The sequence below is a fragment of the Homo sapiens genome, chromosome 8, assembly GCF_000001405.40.
Source record: "Homo sapiens chromosome 8, GRCh38.p14 Primary Assembly".
NCBI lineage: Eukaryota > Metazoa > Chordata > Mammalia > Primates > Hominidae > Homo > Homo sapiens.
In genome coordinates this window covers 66,769,364-66,792,792 of record NC_000008.11, presented here as the reverse complement: position 1 = coordinate 66,792,792, position 23,429 = coordinate 66,769,364, and the positions used below count along the sequence as shown (strand labels likewise).

The following is a 23,429-nucleotide window of genomic DNA, read 5'->3' as shown; positions in this document are numbered from 1 at the left end:
AGCCTTCCAAGTAGCTGCGACTATAGGCACAGACCATCACACCTGGCTCAAACAATACTTTTTTTTTGTTTTTTTCTTAAGAGACAGGGTCTCATTACATTGCCCAGGCTGGTCTTGAACTCCTGGGCTCAAGCATTCCTCCCAACTTGATCTCCCAAAGTGCTAGGATTACAGGCATGAGCCACCGCACCCAGACTAAATAATACTTTTTAAAGTGTCAGTTTGCTTGGATAATTGCCCTGGATGTTTAGTTTCAGGAAGTCACTGTAACAGATCTGATCACTATAAATAAATTATATTCAGGTAATGATTTAAAATATATATCAGCAGGCATTGAATATTCAGGTATAATGAGTTTTAACTGATTATAAGAATGCTTCCTTTGAGATGATTCAAAGCTTCCCTTGTTGGATTTGCTGCTGGAAATGCAGTCAAAAAGATTTCTTTTTTTTTTTTTTTTTTTGAGATGGAGTTTTGCTCTTGTCACCCAGGCTGGAGTGCAATGGCACAATCTCAGCTCACCACAACCTCCGCCTCTTGGGTTCAAGCAATTCTCCTGCCTCAGCCTCCCAAGTAGCTGGAATTACGGGCACGTGCCACCACGCCCAACTAATTTTGTATTTTTAGTAGAGATGGGGTTTCTCCATGTTGGTCAGGCTGGTCTCAAACTCCTGACCTTAGGTGATCCACCTGCCTCGGCCTTCCAAAGTGCTGGGATTACAGGCGTGAACCACTGCGCCCAGCAGTCAGAAAGATTTCTACGTAGCTGAATTAGTTGTTAGAACATACAGACATGTAATTGGTCTCTCCTCAACAAAGAGTACAACATCTGTCTGTAAATTATAGCATTCTAAAGCCCCATAATAGTAGCTGCTTTGCCCCAGTAAGACCAGGGAAGCACCTGACCAGAGCCTGGCCCACCTGTCACAGCAATCTACTGTCTAAGCATGAGAGCAGGTGGAACCTATTGTACTTCTAAGGCAGACTGGCCCTGTCCTGGAACCTCAGAAGCCACATTAACCCATGCTTCTCCTCCTACAGCAGAGACATTCAGAAGGTGAAGGTTATGAGCTACACTTTCCACACCTCTCCCTTGAGAACGTGGGGCTCAGGGTGGCAGGTCCTGCTGGTACTTTATCTGTTTGTGCCTTGCTGTGCTATAGCCCACAGAAGCAGAATTCCTCAGGTCCTCCTTTTGGAAGGGACAGTAAGATAGCACATTAAATGGCATCAGGAATAAAGGAGAAGGAAAGAGATGGTAGGCAGGACAACTTGTCTCCTGTAAGGTACCCCGGGGACATCTAAGAGAACAGGTACAGCTGGGAGTTAAGTGTAGAAGTCTACACTCAAGAAGCACACTCAAACCTGAGCCAAAGGTTCCAGTTTGGCAATTGCACTTGACAGTCTCCATCTGCCCTTCCAGACCCAAACGCCACTCTTTCTCCACCCAGCCACATGTCCAGAAGTCTGAGCTCTATGGACTGCACACTAAAGTAGCACACTTTGCTTTTGTCCTCTGGCTGGGTTCAGCCATGAGAGTCACTAACAAATTAGAGGGTAAGAGGAGCAAGGCGCTAAGGTATTTGTTCCCCTGGTCCCTTTCTGACATCAGTGGTTTATCTACCTAAGCCCACAGTTCCTAGCAGGCAGCCCCTCTTCCACAGCTACAGTTGAAGGGCCTGGGAATAATAACAGCTTCCTGACTTTGCTAGTAAAGAGGTGCTTCAACATGCCATGCTGGTTCCTCTAATCCTGCCCACAACATCTTAGTTAACAGTCCCTTTGTTAAACTCCCTTCAACTACTTTTGAGCATGTCATGTAACTGATGCAGTTAACTGGTACCAAGAATGACCCCAGGAAACACAGCCTCAAAAATGGAATGTGTATTTGACAAGTGTCCTGAAAACCTTCCTGTGGAGGGTGGGGATGGCACACAGTGACATTATGATTGCTCAACTACCTGTGCATGGTGTCACAGGATGGAGTGCAGGTGGAGAGTGCTCATAGTCCAAGCAGCTGATAAAAACACTGACTTCAGAGACTGCAATGTGGGCTGGGGCTGCTTCCGGCTGTTCTTGAGAATGTGCACAAAGCAAATGACAAAGTTAAAGCTGTGAATTCCCAAAGAGATGGGTAGAAAATCCATGGCTGTTTTATTCGAGCCCTTCATCTCTTACAGTTGCCAAGCTGAGAAGACTAAAGATCAAGCCCAGGGTTTGATGTCTAGGGTTGCAGAGCCAATTCAATATATAATCCTGCAAAGTCTCATGTGTTAACATACGGCACTGGCTGGAAAGGACAATGACTTGAATCCTACATGTAGGTACTTGGGTAGGCATAGATGAGGCTAAGAATGCTGAACCCCAAATTCAGCTGAACTTCCTTGCTGAAAGCAGCTGCCTGTATCTCTCAGAAGACCCTGCATCCCAACGCCTCCTCCTCAATAAAACTCTTTTCAAGTTGTTTCACAAGGGATGCTAATTCTCTTCACTATCTACTCCCACCATCTTTCATTGTCTCATAACCCAAAAGACCCCAGAAAGAAGTTCCAAGTCTACTCTGGGAGAAAACTGCCTTTATGACAAAATATTTTAGGATCTCAACAATTTATTTACCAGTGGGAGTGTGGAGAGCACATATAGGAATATATTCAAAGGATCTTAGATCAAGGAAGACTAATAAGATTATTGTGACCTATTTTTTTTCTTTTTTTTGAGATGGGGTCTCACTCTGTTGCCTAGGCTGCAGTGCAGTGGCGCAATCTTGGCTCACTGTAACCTCCACCTCCAGGGTTCAAGCAATCCTCTCACCTCAGCCTCCCAAGTAGCTGGGACCACAGGCATGTGCTACCATGCCTGGCTAATTTTTCTATTTTTGGTAGAGATGGGGTTTCGTCATGATGACCAGGCTGGTCTCGAACTTCTGAGCTCAAGCAAACTGCCCATATCAGTCTCCCAAAGTGCTGGGATTGTAGGCATAAGCCACCACACCCAGCATATTGTGACCCTTTAAACGGCCACAGGCATATACTGTTGATCTTTCTCCAGGCCTTTCCTGAGAAGGACCTGCAGCAATTTTCCAGGATGATTGTCCACTACAGAAATAGGAATATATAATCCTCCCAAGCGTTACTGGATACTAGCTCTGAAATACCACTAATCTCCTAGAGACCCAAAACATGGTCTACAAGTCAAAGTGGGACTTCCAGAGGTAATGTCAGGGAATAAGTCTATCTCACAGTGGGTCCAATAGGACCATAGGCCCATCCTGTGCTTATTTCCCTAGTAATAGAATTATAGTGGAAACAGATATACTTAGTAACTGGCTAAATTCCCATATTGGTTCCCTGTCCCATGTCATAAAAGCTATAATGGGAGAAAAGGCCATGAAGAAGACTCTGGAACTGTCTCCCCTTTTCCTACTAAGAAAGTAACCAAAAACTATACCACTTCCATGGGAGAAGCTCAGAAATCAGTACCACTATCAAAAACAGAAAGGATGCAGGGGTGTTAAAACTTTTTATATCCCCATTTAACTTGGCCATTTACCTAGATCAAAGCTGGAAAGAACTTGGAACATGACTATGGATTACCATAAATTTAATCAGATGGTGATACCAATTACAAATGAGATTCTGAGATTCTAAATGTAGTGTTTTTTTTTTTTTTCTGAATAAAATTAGCATAATCCCGGACATCTGGTATGACTACTGACCTGGCAAATGCCTTCTTTTCTATCACCATCAGTAAGGACAATGAGATGCAAATTGCATGAAGTGGCAGAAAGGCAGTATACCTTCATTGTCTCACCTGAGGGCTATGTCTGAATTGCCATAATATAGTCTGGAGAGTCCTTGATCATCTTGACAGCCCACAGATCACCACACTGGTCCATCACATGGATACCATTATCTTAACTGGACCTGGTGAACAAAAACTAGCAAGCACCTTGGACACCTGTGTAAGACACATACACAAGCCAGAGGATGGAAAAAAACTCATGAAAGTTCAGGGATTCACTACACTGATGGCTTCTAGGATTTCCCTGGTCTGACCCAGGATATCCCACCTCAAGTGAGAGAAATAACTACACCTTGCACCACTTCCACTGAGAAAGAGGTAAAACAAATAGTGAGTTTCAATACTTGGATATGCTGTTCTGACCCATTTACTGGGTAACCTATGAGCCTGCCAGTTTTTACTGAAGCCCATTCCAAGAGAAGGTTCTAGAGCAATGAAAGCTGCCCTAACCCTTGAGCCTATGCCTCAGCACACCCAGTAGTACTGGAAATGACATGGCAAACAGGAATGAATTAAGGACCCCTCTCTCTAACAAGCACCAAGAAAAGGGTAAGAGTTTCAGACCCTTAGGGTTTGCCAGCAATCACTGTCTGTGGTTCCTGGCTTGTTACTAGGCCCAGGAAGAGATGCAATGACCGCCTATGGAAAACCAAGAGACTATGTAAAAACAACAGCCCATCGTGAACAGAGTATTGTCTGGTTCACTGAATCATAAAACTGGACATGTACAGCAGTAATCCACTTGGTACAGTAAAAGCAAGACTGGGCTTAAGCAGGTCTGGACGGCACAAGTAAACTGCAGGGATTAACAGCCCAGACTCCCCTACTGCTTGTTCCTCCTTCTTGTAAGTTTTCTAGACCCACATTTAAGGCCTCATAGGGAGGATCCTAAGGCCAGTTAGCAGGACAGGAAAAAGGCACGCTTGTTTATGGATGGACATGCACAGTGTGCTGGCACCGGCCAGAAGTGAGAAAAGGCAGCCCCACTCAGGGATGGCCTGAAAGAGAGGGGTGAAGGGAAATCTTCCCAGTGGGCAGAACTCTGAGCAGTACACGTGGTGGTTTACCTGTAAGGAGGAGTGCCAAAGGGACGTATCTATGATGATCCTTGGGCAGTGGCTAATGGATGGCCTGCTGGTCAGTGACTTGGAAAGAACAAGATTGGAAAATTATATATTTTTTAAAGGGAGGTGTGCAGAAATATGTATATGAACCTTTCACTACAGCACAGAATGTGAACATATTTGTGTCTCACATAAATGCCCACTACAGACAGGCTCTCAATAATCATGTGGTCAAGATGACTTGTCTTACGGATGTCAGTCAGCCTCTTTCCCAATCGTCCCATTGCTTGCTCAATGGACCGATGACAAAGTGGCCAAAGCAGTAGGTGTGGAGGCTATATAGAGACTCAACAATTTGGCCTTCCCCTCACCAAGACTGATTTAGTGTTGCCAGTGCTGACAGCCCAACCCCAACAGAAAAGACCAACACTAAGGCCCACTATCCCACCATCCCACAGGGGGGATTAGACAGCCCTTAGGGAAGGATCTGTCTTCACAGAAGCAAGACTGACTTCATATGGTTGCTTTAAGGATTTGAGATAGCGTAAAAGACCTAGCACTGTAAAAGTAACCAATAAATCAGATCTAAAGTATAACAATTTGTTTTGAATTTATTTTTATTCCTTAATTCAATGAACACTTATTGAGTGCTCATCATGCACTAGGCAATAAAAAGACAAAGTGAAGGCTGGGCACAGTGGTTCACGCCTGTAATCCCAGCACTTTCGGAGGCTGAGGAGGGCAGGTCATGAGGTCAGGAGTTCAAGACCAGCCTGGCTAACATGGTGAAACCCCGTCTCTACTAAAAATACAAAAATTAGCTGGGCATGGTGGCACATGCCTGTAATCCCAGCTACTCGGAGGGCTGAGGGAGGAGAATTGCTTGAACTGGGACACAAGAGGTGAAGGTTGCAGTGAGCCAAGATGGTGCTACTGCACTCCAGCCTGGGTTACAGAGTGACACTCCATCTCAAAAAAAAAAAAAAAAAAAAAAAAAAAAAAGACAGAGAAAATCCTACCCTCACAGAACTTACCTAACAGGGAAGACTGACAAGCAACATAAAAATTTGTTAAGTATGATGTTATGTGTACACATGGTATACTGAGAGGGTACAGAGAAGGGACACAGCCGCAGACTGTACAGCTTAGCTAAAAATAAAGCCAGGCAGGTATGGAAGCAGATGTTTGAAAGAGATTCCACCCACTTGCCTCAATTGTATCTGGAAAGAGAAGCCAAAATTATATATTGGGAATAAAGATGTTGCTCTGAAGAAAAACATAAAGCGGTTAAATCACTTGCCCAAGTTAATATGCAACTAACAGGCAATAGAGCTAGAATTCAAACGCAAATTTGTCCAACTCCAAAATCTCTATGTGCATGTTTGCTGTACCACATCAACTCTCCTTAAGTAAGATTTTCCTCTCCTTCAAGCTAAATTGAACTGGCAACCTAATAATACTTAGTGGCTAAGCTTATTATAAGCCAGACTGTGCTTTACATGTGCCAATCTGGTTGCTCCTCACAATAGCCCTAACTAGAAGAAATTGAGGAGAAACTGAAGCATGAAAGGATGAAGGACCCTGCCCCAGATGGCAGAAGCAGGATTTGAACCCAGGTGGTCTGACTTCAGGGCTTCTATCCATTATACTACCCTGCCTCCACCACATGTACATGCTTTACAGAGTCCTCTGGCAACCAATTTGGGAAGAAAGTTCATAAATTTTTTTAAGTGATTAAAAGTAAAATGAAAAAGCAACCCTGCTATTACTATACATGTAGTACATATTTATTCTATAAAACTGAAGCAATTAAAATTCTGCAAAATCATCTTCTGGCCAGGCAGCTAAATAAAACAGAGTAAGAAGGGGATTGACATAAAAACCCACAACTAAGAAAGAATAGAACAAAAAGCTATGTCATTCATGGGGATTAAAACTGGGACTTTTTGGGAGATTCATATATATGTAGAGCTTTTCAAAAGAGGAACAGGAAAAGGATCTGCCTTCACTCTGCTAGACAGTCAGAAGATAATTTTGTAGTCTGGTGCTCAGGGGCAGCTGGCTTGCCAGGGGTAGGTGACAGCTCTTCCAAAGAGGCTTAAGTTCGTTAGAATGGAAGAACTAGACTTACTCTTCAACTCATGAATCAACTCAGACAAGTCCAACAAGACAGAAAGAAATGGGTCAGATGACGGCAACACTTTTCAAGGCCAGCCAAATCTTAGGAGGAACGGTGAATCTGCAAGGGTAATATAACAGCTAGTAAAGATTATACAGTGGTTCTCATCGGGGGCCAATTTTGCCTAGAGGATATTTGGCAATGTCGGGAGACATTTTTGGTTGTCACAACTTGTGGGGTGGGGGAGTGGCGGGCGGTGGTCGTCAGGGATGATGTTAAGCATCTACAATATGCACAGGACTGCCCGACAACAAAAAATGATTTGACCCAAAACGTCAACAGGGCTGAAGGTTGAGAAATAAATATTTACTGAGCACTAATGCCAGGGCTGTTTTAAGCGCTCACATCTAACACATCAATGAGTCCTCATAGCAACCTCTGAGGTAAATATCATTATCCTCATTTTACAGATGAAGAAGAAACCTCAGCTACGAAGAGTAGTTCCACATGGTCACGTGGCTGTGGGTGAAAGCACTCTCATGTGAGCCCAGCTCACATACCGTAGCCCTCAACTTCTTATGTTGTTACATGCATCCTTTTCTAAATCATCTTTGCAGATACAGAGTTGAAGAGAAGAGAGCACCAGGGATCCACCAGGCAACTGCGTTACAGAAAGAAAGTCACGCACAGGAAAAGCAGATTTCTGATTCTGCCACCAGGAAGGGTCAAAGTCTGGACAGCACTTGGTCAGGAGCCTGGCTTCCCTTTCTTGAAAAACATCACATGTAAACATCTAACTGAGAGCTTGGTACACAGCAGGCTCTGAGTGTTGGCCCCATCACGATGACAACCAAGGGCTAATTATGAAATAAGGAGGACACAAGAAAAGACACTATCAAGGATACAGTTTTTTTAAAAAGGTGGGGGAAAGTTCATCTTTTTTTAAAAAAGCATCCATAGACTTAAAATTTTTTTGTTTGGGGTCTGTAAAAAAATAGCAATATGGGTGAAACGCTATGATAAAAAATTGCCCAAATTCTTGTTATGTTAAAATGTTACTGATCCAAATATTGCTTAAAATAGATGAACATTAAAGCTTTTCCTAAAAAGGATTTTTTCCTTCATCATTGTATCCATTTTTTTTGTCTATTATATGCTACTTACTGTCCTTGGGTATTGCCTGTCTTTGTTTCAGGGCAGTCAAAAAAAATTTTTTTATATAAAAAAAGTCAAAAGATTCTTCTGCTTTTACCTCTAAAAAATAAACAGAATTTCTGAACCCTACTTCCTTAACCCATCATAAAGATTGTTTGATATTGACTAGAGGACCCTACTCAGATTAGAAGGTAGATACACTCATAAGTATCACTTCCCATTCTTACCCAATACAGCAGGGAGGGTGAGTTGGTGATTCACACCAAGGCATAAAGGGAAATAAAAACAAACGTGTCCCAAAAGGAAGGAATTTGGCTTGTGAAGAGCTACAAGTTTTCCTCAGCAGGGGAACAGGGTACTGGGTGTTCAGAAACAATGGCACCTAAAGGAGGGCACTAACAGGGCTGGTCAAGGAAGATACAAAAGAAAATCCATGCACATAAATTGCAAAAGTAGGCCGGGTGATGGTTGACACCTGTAATCCCAGCACTTTGAGAGGCTAAGGCGGAAGGATCCCTTGAGCCCAGGAGTTCGGTATCAGCCTGGGAAATATAGTGAGAGCCTGTCTCCACAAAAAAAAGTTTAAAAATTAGCCGGGCATGGTGGCACGTACCTGTAGTCCTGGCTACTTGAGAGGCTGAGACCAGAGGATCACTTGAGCCCAAGAGGCAGAGGTGGAGATTACAGCTAGCCTTGAGATTGCACCACTGCACTCCAGCCTGGGCAACAGAGCAAGACTGTGTCTCAAAAAACAAACAAACAAACAACGACAACAAAAAACAAAACTATAAAATTCCTAGAATATAATGTACCAGAAAATCTAGAAAATGGCCAGGCACTATGCTTCGGCCTTTAATCCCCTCACTTGGGGTGTCTGAGATGGGAGGACTGCTTGAGTCCAAGAGTTCAAGACCAGCCTGGGCAATATGCGAGACCTCATCTCTACCAAAAAAATAAAGAAATAAAAAATTAGCAAAGCATGATGGTATGCACCTGTAATCTCAGCTACTCGGGAGGCTGAGGCGGGAGAATAGCTTGAGCCCAGGAGGTGAAGGTTGCAGTGAGCCAAGATCGCATCACTGTACTCCAGGCCGGGTGCCAGAGCACCCTATCTTAAAAAACAAAAATAAAAATAAAAATAAACCACACACACACACAAAAATTAGATGACCACAAGCATGGCAATGATTTTGCAAATGCTACACCAAAGGCATAATCCATGAAAGAACATGAAGAGAATGAGAAGACAAACCACAGACTGGAAGAAAACATTTGCAGAAGATACAGCCAATAAAGGACTGTTATCTAAAATACACAAAAAACTCTTTAAACAACAAGAAAACAATCTGATTAAAACATGAACCAAATACCTTAACAGACACCTCACCAAAGAAGACATACAGATGGCAAATGCAAAGAAGCATATTCCACATCATGTCACCAGGAAATGCAAATTAAAATGAGATACCATTACATACTTTTCAGAAATGGTCAGAATCCAGAACACTGACAACACCAAATGCTGGTGAGGATAGGGAATAGCAGGAACTCTCATTCTCTGTTGGTAGGAATGCAAAATGGTACAGCCACTCTGGCAGTTTGGCAGTTTCTTACAAAACTAAACATATTCTTACTATACAATCCAGAAGTTGCACTCCTTGGTATTTACCCAAAGAAGCTAAAAACTACGTGCACACAAAAACCTGTAAATGGATGTCTCTAGCAACTTTATTCATAATTGCCAAAACTTGGAAACAACCAAGATGCCCTACTATAGGTGAATAGATTAATACACTGTAGTACATCCAGACAATGAAATACTTTTCAGTGCTAAAAAGAAATAAGCTATCCAGCCATAACAAGACATGGAGAAACCTTAAATGCATATCACTATGTGAAAGAAGCCAATCTGAAAAGGCTACATACTGCAAGATTCCAATTATATGACATTCTAGAAAAGGCAAAACTAGGAAAACAGTAAAAAGATCAGCAGCTGCCAGGGGCTGGGGCACAGGGTGAAACGATGACTAGGCAGAGGATTTTTAAGGCAGTGAAAATACTCTGTGACACTATAATGATGGACACATGTCATTATACATTTGTCCAAACCCACAGAATGTACAACACCAGGAGTGAACCCTAATGGAATCTATGGATTTTGGGTTACTACGATGTGTTAACATAGGTTCACCGATTGTAACATATGTACCACTCTGGTGGGGGATATTGACAATGGGGAGTGCTGGACATGTGTGGCAGCACAGATATATGGGGAACTCTGTACTTTCCTAATTTAGCTATGAAAAAAAAAAGTCTAAAAAAAAAAAGCCATACACATACCCTGGGCATACATATGTGGCAAGGGGAAATGACCTAGTAAATAAGAAAAGGAATTGGGATGGGGACAATTTCTGAGAAGAGAATAGACCCTATGAATAGGTTTCGTTTTAAGTTACATTAAAAGCACCTTCCCAGCAAATTCTAACCCCAAACTGGTTACTTTACTGAAAGTCTACTGTAAGAGTATATATAATCTGTATCTGTTTATTTCTGCCTCTCAGGATACTAGCTCCAAATACATCCCAAATGTTTCAACAGAAACAAAGGACATCTTTGTCACATCTGTAAATTAAATTCACTGCAGAACAGATTTTAAAACAAAACAGGCTCTGCCAATGAAAGATACATAGTAGCCTTCTCCCCTCCCCTCACACATCACATGATGAATCAGTTACAACTTTTTCCTGTTTTCCTTCCTTACTGATACATCCTTCCTCTAATTCCCACTCCACCCCCATCTTTGATTTTTCCATCATTCTGTAATCACAAAGCTGTCCCAGTTTTTCCTAGGTTTACTACATCTCTATTTAAGCACCTTTTACTTATCCGATTCTTGATAAAAGTGATATATGAATTAAAAATAAAGTACAGGCAAAATAGCCAATGTTGGCACTAAAACAATATTGAAGAAGAGTGTTGTGCACCAACAACTTGAGAAGAGTGTCCAAGAACCTCAACTAAAGTCACATGAGCCAGCTCCATTTTATTACAGACATTTAGAGAAGGGCCTCGGTGAGGAAGTGGAAGTAACCACTGACAGCCCTTTGTTTTCTCCACACTGGGATAAAACTGCTAAAATAAACCAGGCATGGTGGCTCATGCTTCTAATCTCAACTACTCGGGAGGCTGAGGCCGGAGGACAGCTTGAGGCCAGGAGTTTGAGGCTGCAGTGAGCTATGATTGCACCAATGTACTCCCATCCTGAGTGACAGAGCTAGACCCCGTCTCTTTAAAAACAAAAAAACAAAATACTACTAGGATAAGGAGGAAGGCCCTAAATTTACTTCAACCATGTCATGTCCCTCCACTTGGTCCAGAACCGACTGGTAGAGATGGTAGCAGTGGCAGCAAGGCTGTCCTAGCCTTCTCAGCCTCCCAAGGTCACTATCTTGGGTTCCCAACCACCAGAATGCCTGCTGTATTCCAAAACTCCCAAGCTTTTCCATTTGTAGGCACACTCCAAGCATATCTTACAGGCAGATGTGAACATACAACACGCCCAAGGCCAATTCCTAGAGGGCTGTGGTGACTGGCAGATGGATGGGGCCTGCGGTCAAGCTGGTTCTGAACTGAAGAGGTTGGCAGAATTCAGATTGTCCAGGCCCAACAAAACAAAACAAAACAAAACCCACAAAGACAAAAATCACCATCATGTCTCATAGAGTCTCTTGGGAGAACCTCCAACCTGCTCTCTGCTTCCATTCTAAACTCCCTCCAATCCATTTTTTCCCCAGTAGCCAGACCAATTTATTTTTATCACTGTAAATCTGATAATTTCACTCCTTGCTTAACCCCCTTTCCACGGCTTCCCATCACTCTTAGAATAAAATCCAAACTGTGGATTATTGCTGACAGTCTACAGTCCCCCACAGGGCCTAATGTTATTCTGCATAACTCTCCAGCTGCACCCACCAGGGCCTCTCGCCTCTGTGTTCACTAGACTCATACCAGAACAAACTCCTTCCTATTTCGCACACCTTCCAAGCCCTCTCCCATCTCGTCTATTGTACCAGTGGCCCCTCTGTCTGGGACACTCTCATCAGCTCTTAACACCAAGGCCTTGTTCAAAAGTCACTTCTTCCAACAAACTTCATGGCCACCTTAATGTGCTCCCTCCCCAACTTAATCCTCCCTCATCATGTTGTTTATTTCCATTTCAGCATTTATGGATTGCAACTAGGATTTCAGTTGCTTGCTTATTGAGAGCCTCCCTGACTAGGGTGTGGGAACTGTGACTTATTGACTGCCATGCACTTAGAAGGCCCTAATAAAACCTTTCATTGACTTATTCAACAGGTGGAGAGAGACGTTTAGAAATTCCAACTTGCCAAAGTGTGCTAGTGAGATGTTCAGTGACCAATGCCTCATTATTCCTTCATCAGTCTCCTGAATCATCAATTTCTGCCTCTTCACTGGATCACTCCAAGTACTATATGTACTAATATGCTATGGTATCTTAATAAAATCCTCCCTAAAAATATAGATTTACTTATTTAATGATACTTATGTAGTGTTTACCATGTGCTGGGAGTATATCAGCATGTGTACCCTCATTTTTTATTATTTTTATGAATGATTCTATCTGATAACACACTTAACTAAGGCTTTATAAAATCAAGGAGAACTCAGGATAAACACAGATGCTTATGCAGTGTGATAAAGGAAACTTTACTCTCAAGTAAATATTTGCTTTCAAAATTCTCCTGACACTAAAACTATTATCACATTAGTAAAAATTTCCCAAAGCACAAAAATTACAACCAATTACATATTTAAATTATAATACTTATTTAAATTATACTACTTAATTTCAAATCCTGACCTTACAGTGGCTATGTTATTAGTAAAGACAACATGCAGAATTTTACCTTAATATTTTAACATTTCAAAAATTAGGGTATATATATATATGCCCTAATTTTATACATATATATGTATAAAATGTATATATGTGTATATGTATAAAACGTATATATATAAAAAATGTGTTTTATATATATATATATATATATATATATATATATATATATATTCACACACATACATATACATATATATATATCTCCCCCCTACCTAACAATAGAAACTGCTGCTTCATTCTAGGAACGGTAAAATAAATTTAGACCTACATCTATAAGCACCTAAAATCAAAAACAACAAAAATAAGTTAATGTATGCCCTAGAATGGAAAAACTTCAGTTGAGGTTTGGAAGGCCACAGGAGAAAAGATAAAATTAAGTGACAGAAACATTTACACAAGCTCGAGTCAAGTTTTAATCTGAGTCACAAGTAAAATAAAATCATTGACTCAACTGGAATATGTGAAAGGATATGCTTGTAATATAAAATTCAGCAAAATGTGTTAAATGCTGATATCAAACTTAGTAAAACTATAAACTTCAACAATAGTAAATTCAAGTATCTCATATCTACCACCTTTTTCTGAAGGACTAAAAACTTCTGGCATATATACCTTTCTCCACACATCCAGGACAATCAGGAAAAAGGTATGAAGTTTTTTTTAAGATTAAACAATGAAAGGAAAGAAAGTAAATTACTTTCTGCAGACCAGAGAGAAAGAGAATCTTCAGTCCTATCCAGTATAGAAACAAAGCAAAGAAACAGTATTCCATGTGTCTAGAAATACAAAAACAAAATATATTTTAGGAATAATACTCCACAAAATCCTAAGCTGCAGATATTGCTCAATAAAGTTGTCTTCTCCTGATGGTTTCCTGAATTTACTGCGTACTTTTAAAAACATCTGCCTATCCATCTACATGCGTATTGGACATGCTGCTCTCCCTACACCCACTCCCCTCTATAAATCCAGACCTCAGTGTCTTCATTTGTATCTTTTTACTTGGTACTGACTTTTTCCTTGTCATCTTCTTCATTTGTCTATACTGTAGAAATAATTGTTGAAGCTCAATATTTAACGATTTAAAGGTCTGTTTGATATAATTTTAAGTTCATGTTTGTTTAAAAAACAGTTAAGTGGCTGGGCACGGTGGCTCACGCCTGTAATCCTGGCACTTGGGGAGGCCGAGGCGGGCGATCATGAGGTCAGGAGATCGAGACCATCCTGGCTAACACGGTGAAACCCCGTCTCTACTAAAAATACAAAAAATTAGCCGAGCGTGGTGGCGGGCGCCTGTAGTCCCAGCTACTCCGGATTCTGAGGCAGGAGAATGGCGTGAACCCGGGAGGCGGAGCTTGCCAAGTGCCGAGATCGCGCCACCACTTCACTCCAGCCTGGGCAACAAAGCGAGACTCCATAACAAAAGAAAAAAAGAAAAAGAAGCAGATAAGCAGATGTGGGTCTTATTTTTCCTTTAAAAGAAACTGAAATGTGTGTGTGCATGCTTCTTGTTCTCCAGGACATGAAGCACTGAAGAAAAGACCAATGCCCGAAGCTTTCAAATTCAAAGTAGACTGTGCTAAATTCTCTATGATAGTCACCAGCATTCAGAGAAAGAAAAAACCACTTCCAACTGAACTTACCTAGATATTTGGTAGGGAACGGCAGGGGCCGCATGTGAGGGGGGGTTTGCAGAATGGGAACTCAAAACAGAAAGGGCAGCAGAAGTCCTCACTAGAAACAGGCAACAGCCACTAGTCCACTATGTCTAAATCCCTGCCCACATCGGAGAAAAAGATTAACTCATCAATAAAAACAGAAAGAGAAACTGTCATGAAGCAACACTCATTTTGGGATTTTATAGGACATCACCATTAAAGCCTTAATTCTACTGTCATATTTACAAACCTAAACTGGAACTCATCTCTTCATCTATAGGAGATACAGACTGTAAAAGTGGGCTTTAAATCATGTTGTAGGGAATTCTGAATGTCAGGCTTTTCACTCTGGATTTCATTCTGCAGGTAAGGATGTGAAGTCACTTGAAAAGGGAACTGCAGGGCTGTAAGTGTCAAATTAAAATGAAGGGAATGAAGAAATGGGCTTGGCAACAACAGGAGAGGCAGGTTTGCAACAAAAATGACAGATGAAATAACGTGGTAGCTATTTGCATGTGGGGTACAAAGGTAGAAGAAAGAATTAACATTGCCTCAAGATTTTATTCCTGGGTAACTAGGAATAAATAAAATGGAGGGAGGGGAAAATAGGGCAAAATGACAGTGAATTGGCGTAAATAATTACTAGTCTTGTTGGAAATGTCTGCATCAGATCCATGAATTCGGTACCTCCTGTGTGCCAGGCACTATTTCCAAGCACTTAGGATACAACAGTGAACACAACTGGCAAACAACTTTACCCACATGGAACTTACGCTCTCATGTCAGACAACAGATAATGAATAAGTCAATCAATAGGTCAATATATAAGTGTGGTGTTGTATGCAATTTTAAATAGGAAGGTAACATCTAAACAAACACCCAGAGGTGAAGGAGTGAGCTATACAAAAAGTTGGGGAAGAGTCAGCAACTAACAAAACAGTAGCTCAAAATAATTTCACTCCACAATGCTTTTGAACTTAGCAGCCACATTGTGACATTATCTCTTTGGGACCCAGTCCTACTTCCTTGGGTGAGCATTCAGGGTTCCACTTCCTGACTCCTACCCAATCAAGAAAACTTCGCCAATAAAACAGCGATAAAAAAACTGCCTAGTAGGTCAATTTGTTTATACTGGCTGTTTACATTCCCTACCTGGGAGAAGAGGGCTGCATTTTAAAAGGACAAAACCAAAGCACATTAGAACATGTTTGTACAAAGCTTAAGAAGACAATCATCTTGTTCTCAAAGCAATAATTAATGTAGCAACTTTGAGACTTGTGATTTAAATCAAAGGTACTACTGAAGAATGATTATGAATCATGCAATTAAGCTACCAAGCAGGATAGTGCTGGAAAGGAAAGCCATTCACAGAACCATAAAACTGTCAAAGATAAAGATAGTAACTATCATCAAAACTAGAAATAACATCATCATTTGATTTTATACTTTGTTGATCAGCAGAGCTGAATTCTAGCCTAAGCTCTGCCATTTATTGATTCTGAGTCTTTGGCCTCATCCTTATCTGTAAAGACCAGCTGGTCTGATTTTTCAGATTCCTTTCAATTCTGAGATTCCCTGCAGCAAGCTATGGTTCCTATGATGTTTATTTATGTATTGGGGGTGCTCTGGTTTACTTAGTTTTGCAATAATAGTACAAATAAGCATCCACCCAAAATAGCACAACTTAAAAGTTCTGTATAAAGCGATATAAACTGCTTTTAAACAAACCCGCCTGAACTTGGTGCTTAAAATGAGGCTACATTCACCTTAAAGGCGCTGCCTCTTTTTTGATCCCTGTTTTGGAACAGCCTTCGAGACTGAAGTTTCTGTGGATGGGATTTGGAACAAGGTGGATGATCACATCAGGTAACACCCCTAGTGAAAGAAAAGTAAGAGACCTTTTCTTGTGGAACTCGGTCTAAGAAAACTGTTCCAAAGGAATCCCCAAGCATTTCTAGCAACAGCTCTGAGGAAAGAATATACGTAGGTTTTCCGGTGATGACAATTCTTGAGATTAATGCCCATCTGAATGCATAACAAAGAAAACAGCCAAAGTTTATTGTGGACTATGAGCCAGGTATTAACTCATTTAATCTTCAAAAACTGCTGTATGGTTAGAACTATCATTATCCCCATTTTACATACGCTAAAACTAAGGCATAGAAAAGTTAGGCAAATTGCCCAAGTTTTCGCAGTTAATAAGTAGATTCAAAACCATGATTTTAGCTCCGAAGTCTGCGTGCTTCATCTCCAAGATACACTCCCTACGTAACCCCTGCTGTCCATGTTTAAGTAACAGTCCCGTTTCTACTACACCTTTCTTACAAACTGAATAACACAAAGTAAAAGTAAAGCCCCACCGCAAGCTCACTATCGGGTTTCTCCTCCTGTCCTGAACCACAAACTATATTTTAAAGGATATACAAACTTGACAGTACCTGGGGCTTCTCGACATTTAGAGGGGGTGTGTGTGGAACAACTCAAACGTTTTCTGTCTCGGACCAAGTGCAGTGAATGAGTGCCGCGAAGTCGCAGCACGCCCGGGTGTGGAGCCCGCCTCTCCTCTCAGGGGTTCACAGGAGGGGCCGCCCGCGCGCCCCGCCCCGCGCTCGTGATGGGCGCGGAAATGGCACCGGGGCCCGTCACACCACACCTGCCTCCCGCGCCCCCGGGGTCCCTCCACCTGGCCCGCGCAGTGCCGGGGCTGTTCTCCGCCAAGGGTTCCTCGCGCAAGCTCGATGAGCCACACGCTTACCTTCGGGCACCCACCCCCGGCGCATGGCGAATGGGAAGCGCCGCCACTGCTGCGCCACACTCGGCCGGGACCTGCGCCGCGCCACCAGCTCCCAGCGGCGCCAGCTGCGCTCCCTGCGGGGGCCAAACCTGCAGGCCCCGCCCCCTGCGGCAGGCCCCGCCCTCACCAATCACCACCGGCCACGCCCGAATATGGCTCGGTCAGCCCCGCCCTCGGAGCTCTTCGGCCACACCCCCGAAGGAGCTGCCGGTGGGGTGCAGCCCCAGGGCCTTAATTAAGTAAATAAGCGGGGGAGGAAAGGCGGGAAGCCAGCATTTGGGAGACAGAAAACGAGAGGACCCCCGCGGGGAAGGTGAAGAGAGCCTTGGGCGGGGGCAAGGAATGAGAAGGCACTCTCCCCAGGTTCCCGCTAAAGTGTAGATCTCAAAACAACCGCGCTCATTCAAGACACTGGCATAATCTCATTTTCCTCGGGCGGGGTAGGAGTCACACACGAATTCAGGGCTCCAGGCGTGAGACGTCATTAGGAATGGGATTCAGAGGAGCAAAGAAACGAAGCAATTCCTTTACTAGTCTCCACCACACATCCTTTACTTCAAAAATTGGGGAGTCGGCTCCCAGTAAGAATCCTCACCCCGAGCTTAAATTGTTAATCAATCTCGTTCCCTTCAAACAGCTCAGGCGCATCACGAGAGAGCAGACGCGGCCGGGTTTGGCATGAATGTCCGTAGTGTGCTACTCTAAGGTTTGCGTCTGCGTGTACAGATAAAGGAAAACCAGAATCCTCGAAACGACTTGTTTTAACTATTAATGCATCTGAGTCTGGACAGTGAAAAACGGCTGGAAGCATCAAGCCAATAACCGAGTAGGGCGCAGTTCCTACAGTCCCAGCTACTCCATGGGCTGAGTCAGGAAGATCACTTGAGCCCAGGAGTTCCAGGCCAGCCTGGACCTCATAGCAAGACCCTGTTTCTAAAATAAAAATAATGTAACTAATGAATATGGCAGGGAAACAAAGGGCTCACTTTGCCAGCAAGCAGGATTGACATACGGTAACCTTTATTACAAAAATTTCAGAAAATAATGCCAAGAGGCCAGCCTAGCTCTGTAGCCTTAAGGGAAGTCACAATATCTGAAGTCCTCAATTTGCTTATCAGTAAAACGAGGGGATTTAGCCTGGTGACCTCATGGGCTCTAAATGCCCTCTCATACTCTAAAGTTTGTCCTGCCAGGCTCAACTCATAGGAGAGGGGAAAGGATGCAGGGAAGTATTGTCTAGTCAGGAGCCACTCAGAGAAATTGGGAATTTTTAGAAAAAGCTTCAGGGATCTCCGGCATCACTCATTCAACCTCTCCCTTACAACTTTCCTGTTTGTAATAATAATAGTACACCAGTCCCCGACACATACCCTTATCAACAGTTTCCCTTTTCTTTTTTTGACCAACAGTCTGAAAAAATTAAATGGAAAATTCTAGAAATAAACGAGTTTTAAATGGTGTGCTGTTCTGAGCAGTGTGATAAAATCTCACGCTATCCCACTCCATCTACCCTCAATGTGAAGCCTCCCTCTGTCCAGTTTGTCCATGCTGCAGATGCTACCCACCCGCTAGTCTCTTAGTAGGCATCTCCATTATCACGTCAGCTGTAGAGGTGTCACAGTGCTTGTGTTCAAGGAACCCTTATTTTACTTCATGATAGCCCCAAAGTGCAAGAGTCGTGATGCTGACATATTGTTATAATTGTTGTATTTTATTAATAGTTATGGTAGTTAATCTCTTACTGTGCCTAATTTAGAGAGTAAATGTTATTGTAGGCATGTATATATAGGAAAAAACATAGTTTAGATGGGGTCCAGTACTATCTGCAGTTTCAGGGAACCACTGGGAGTTTTAGAAGGTATCCCCTTGGATAAGGGGGTAATACTGTATCATTCTTGCCCTAACTCAAAACCTTTGACTCTTCCCTCTCAGTCCTCACGTTTGGTCACCAGGTCCTTGGCTTTCTCCTTTAGAGTCTTCAATGACTCTTCCATTTTCACTGCCATCTCTGTATAAAGAACAGATTCAAAGAACTCAGGGTGTTTGATCTGATCCTAACCTACATTTCCCACCTAATCTCCAACTCACTCTCTTGTGTACTCATCTGTTGGACAGACTGTCTCCTCAATGTACAGAATCCACAACTTACAACTAACATCCCTCCCACTGTACATGCAAACCCACTGCCTCCTAGCTGGAATACCCTCTTCTCAGTCCTAGCTACCGGTCTTGACTACAGTAGCCCAGCTCAGGGATGTCTGTATGCAATAAAATGCTATAATACTTAGGATCTGCACCACTCACGTTACCATGTAGCAGGGCTACTTTGTTTTGTTTTCTGCTATTTAGAATCTTTATCTCAGGCCAGTTATGGTGGCTCACACCTGTAATCCCAGCACTTTGGGAGGCCGAGGCAGGCAGATCACTTGAGCTCAAGAGTGGAGTTTGAGACCAGCCTGGGCAATGTGGTGAAACCCCATCTCTACAAAAAAATTAAAAAAATTAGCCAGGTGAACATGGTGGAACCCTGTCTCTACTAAAAATACAAAAGAATTAGCCAGGCGTGGTGGCAGGCACCTGTAGTCCCAGCTACTCAGGAGGCTGAGGCAGGAGAATGGCGTGAACCCGGGAGGCAGAGCTTGCAGTGAGCCGAGATTGCACCACTGCACTCCAACCTGGGCGACAGAGCGAGACTCTGTCTCAAAAAAAAAAAAAAAAAATAGCCAGGTGTAGTGGTGCGCGCCTGTAGTCCCAGCTACTTGGGAGGCTGAGGTAGGAGGATCACTTGAGCCTGGAAGGTACAGGCTGCAATGAGCCAAGATTATGCCACTGCACTCCAGCCTGGGTGACAGAGAGAGACCCTGCCTCAAAAAAAAAAAAAGAATATTTATCTTGCTGGGCACAGTGGCTCATGCCTATAATCCCAGCATTTTGGGAGGCTAAGACAGGAGGATTTCTTGAGCCTTGGTGTTCGAGAGCAGCCGCAGCAATACAGAGAGACTCCGTCTCTATAAAAAAATTAACCAGACATGGTCCCTGGCTAATTAGTCCCAGCTACTTAGAAGGTTTAAGTGAGAGGATCACTTGAGCCCAGGTGGTCAAGGCTACAGTGAGTCATGATTGCACCACTGCACTCCAGCCTGGGCGACAGAGCGAGACTCCCATCTCAAAAAAAAAAAAAAAAAAATTCAGTATCTTAAGAAGGCTAAAAGAAATTATAGATTCATCCATAATTAGGCTGTTCAGATTACCTATAACAGCAAGATTCTATTTTTATCTGAAATATTATGATACTGAAGTAACACCAGTTACTTCATGATAACCAAATGCTTTGACTGGCAGTTACATATGACTGATTCATAAAAATGGAGAAGTAAATTATTATTAAGTAAGACTTTTTTGGAAGACTAAGTCTTTGAGATTCATGGAGGTAAATAAAAAGTAATCTACCTATTCTTCTTCACCTCATTGCCCAAACAAGTGGTATACCCATAGTAAATGCTTAAAAATATATTAATCAGTCCATGATTATTTTCAACTTTCCTTAAGCCCTCTCTCTCCTTCGCTAAATACTAAAATACTGGTCTTTTCTTTTTCATGGAAATAAGATAGGGAGAGCTTCCTCTTTTAATTTCAAAGAAATCCTCAAGAATAAGTGAAAAAGAATCACACAGCATTTCTTGGAGTTGGACTAGAAAGGTTTTCAGTGTTCTAGAAATAAACCCTTGAATCACAGTAAATTCCCTATGTTAGCAAGCTCTATGTCCTATTAAGGTCTTTAGAGAGTAAATTTTCCTTAACTGCAACCTTAACCAGATGGCACAATACAAACAGAACCAAGTTTGCAAAATGACTACCAAGTAAGAGTGAAAACTGATTTGCAATCTATCAATGGCCCCTTGTGTTTTGAAAATGTCAATAGTACATTTCAGGGAGGCCCCAGAGTTCTGAAGTCTGTCCCAAACAATCTATAAATCACTAGTCACGGCAAACCTTTATAATGTTCTAGAGATTTAAGAAGCATTAAATAGACTAAATAACAATCACACTTCATTTATAGAGTGGGTTGTACCAGAGGCTATTGGTAATAGACTGTTGAAACTTTTCTCTACCTCTCCTCAAAATGTGAAGTGACTATTAAGAGTGGGGCCTTAGGGGACTTCTGAATCCAGCCAACATGGAGTAACAAGGACCAAATTGACCCTCCCACCTGAACCAACCAAAAGGAAAAACGAAAAAGAGACAGAAAAAATATATAAAACATCTGTTTTCAAGATACTGGGTATCAGGCTGTGAAAGAAAATGATTCCTAAGCACACAAAATTTACCCGCAGCTTACTACTTTCAGATACCTTACACACCATGATACAGGGAGTGGAATGAAGGAGAGCCCAGCAGACTACCTGAGTTGAGAGGATGGGGCTATGAATCCAGGGAGAACAAGATGGTTAGAGTTCACAAGACAGTATACAAGAGGAAGTTAAGTGCACAGAGAACCCTAGAGACCTGCAGAAGGTTCTCCCTGAGAATTTGACAACGCAGATCAGTGCATGCATGTGAAGAAACTATAAAAAGTACAGCAAAGAAAAAAACATATGAAAGCATTAGACAGAATAGCACTGGCAACTCACAGAGGGCCAGGAATAGTGGCTGTTCCATCAGGTAGACTACAAACGTTCCCAACTCAATGCAGGTAGAATACTAAGAAGAGTCTTACCTTACTTAGACTGGGGAGGAATTAGCCCTAGAATAAATACTGCTTGGGTCCTGCCAAACAAACAAACAAAAAACAGAAAAAAACACATGGAAGTAAAATCTGAAAGGATTGAACTATTTCCAAGTAATTTAACTCTATCTCAAATCAAAATCCAGGCATAATTGTAAGAATAGAAAAATATCCAGCATTCAGCAAGGAAAAAAATCACAATGTCTGACATTCAATATTGAATATGTGGCATTCAGTATTACAAGGCATGCAAAGAAACAGAAAAATATGACCAATAATGAGATAAAAAGTAATCACTAGGGGCCGGGCACGGTGGCTCACGCCTGTAATCCCAGCACTTTGGGAGGCCGAGGCAGGCGGATCACGAGGTCACGAGATCAAGACCATCCTGGCAAACACGGGGAAACTCCATCTCTACTAAAAATACAAAAAAATTAGCCGGGTGTGGTGGCGCACGCCTGTAGTCCCAGCTACTCGGGAGGCTGAGGCAGGAGAATGGCATGAACCCGGGAGGTGGAGCTTGCAGTGAGCGGAGATTGCGCCACTGCACTCCAGCCTGGGCAACAGAGCGAGGCTCCGTCTCAAAAACAAACAAAAAAAGTAATCACTAAAACTGACCTGCAACTGACATAGATGTTAGAATTAGCTGACTAGGACATTAAAACAGTTATTATAATGGTAATGTAGGCAGGTCTTGGTGGCTCACGCCTGTAATCCCACTTTGAGAGGCCAAGGTAAGAGGATTCCTTCATTTCAGGAGTTCAAGACCAGCTTGGGCAACATAGGGAGACCCCATCTCTACAAAATAATAATAATAATAATAACAATAGTAATATACTCAAAAAGTTAAGTAGAGACAAAGAAAGCATAAAATTTCTAAATCCAACTTTTAGAGATGAAAACAATAATCTCTAAAGTGGAAAATACACCAGATAGGATTAACAGAAGATTAGACATTACAGAAGAAAAGATTAGTAAACTTGAAGACTGCAGTAGAAACTTTCTAAAATATAGACAGAAAAAAGAATTAAGGCCGGGTGCGGTGACCCGCACCTATAATCCCAGCATTTTGAGAGGCTGAGGCGAGTGGATCATTTGAGGTCTGGAGTTCAAGACCAGCCTGGCCAACATGGCAAAATCCCGTCTCTACCAAAAATACAAAAATTAGCTGGGCATGGTGGCGCACATCTG

At 42.3% G+C, this 23,429-nt stretch overlaps 2 protein-coding genes across 4 annotated transcripts in view, besides 5 other annotated features; both read right to left on the bottom strand.

Moving 5' to 3' along the window:
• The window catches only part of C8orf44-SGK3 (C8orf44-SGK3 readthrough), a 194,427-nt gene that overhangs the window by 69,230 nt on the left and 101,768 nt on the right, over positions 1–23,429 (bottom strand). The window lies entirely within an intron of this gene.
• SGK3 (serum/glucocorticoid regulated kinase family member 3) overlaps positions 1–23,429 on the bottom strand; it is a 149,242-nt gene that overhangs the window by 69,230 nt on the left and 56,583 nt on the right. For 2 of the 3 annotated variants that reach the window (NM_013257.5, NM_170709.3), the window contains exon 1: positions 17,474–17,588. The exons of the other annotated variant lie outside the window; for it this stretch is intronic. The gene's annotated coding sequence lies outside the window, so the exon portion shown is untranslated. Of the gene's footprint in view, positions 1–17,473; positions 17,589–23,429 lie in introns of those variants that run through there. 3 annotated transcript variants of the gene reach the window in all.
• Positions 14,354–14,855: an enhancer, noted in NCBI's record as "H3K4me1 hESC enhancer chr8:67690173-67690674 (GRCh37/hg19 assembly coordinates)". NCBI's record gives its function as "activates a minimal SCP1, AML or CMV promoter by ChIP-STARR-seq in naive H9 embryonic stem cells {active_cell/tissue: H9 hESC(naive)}" and the evidence as "EXISTENCE:reporter gene assay evidence [ECO:0000049][PMID:30033119]".
• Positions 17,218–17,647: a silencer, noted in NCBI's record as "silent region_19257". NCBI's record gives its function as "represses an Ori minimal core promoter by ATAC-STARR-seq in GM12878 lymphoblastoid cells {active_cell/tissue: GM12878}" and the evidence as "EXISTENCE:reporter gene assay evidence [ECO:0000049][PMID:35858748]".
• Positions 17,218–17,884: a biological region, named in NCBI's record as "H3K27ac hESC enhancer GRCh37_chr8:67687144-67687644".
• Positions 17,384–17,884: an enhancer, noted in NCBI's record as "H3K27ac hESC enhancer chr8:67687144-67687644 (GRCh37/hg19 assembly coordinates)". NCBI's record gives its function as "activates a minimal SCP1, AML or CMV promoter by ChIP-STARR-seq in primed H9 embryonic stem cells {active_cell/tissue: H9 hESC(primed)}" and the evidence as "EXISTENCE:reporter gene assay evidence [ECO:0000049][PMID:30033119]".
• Positions 17,668–17,717: a silencer, noted in NCBI's record as "silent region_19256". NCBI's record gives its function as "represses an Ori minimal core promoter by ATAC-STARR-seq in GM12878 lymphoblastoid cells {active_cell/tissue: GM12878}" and the evidence as "EXISTENCE:reporter gene assay evidence [ECO:0000049][PMID:35858748]".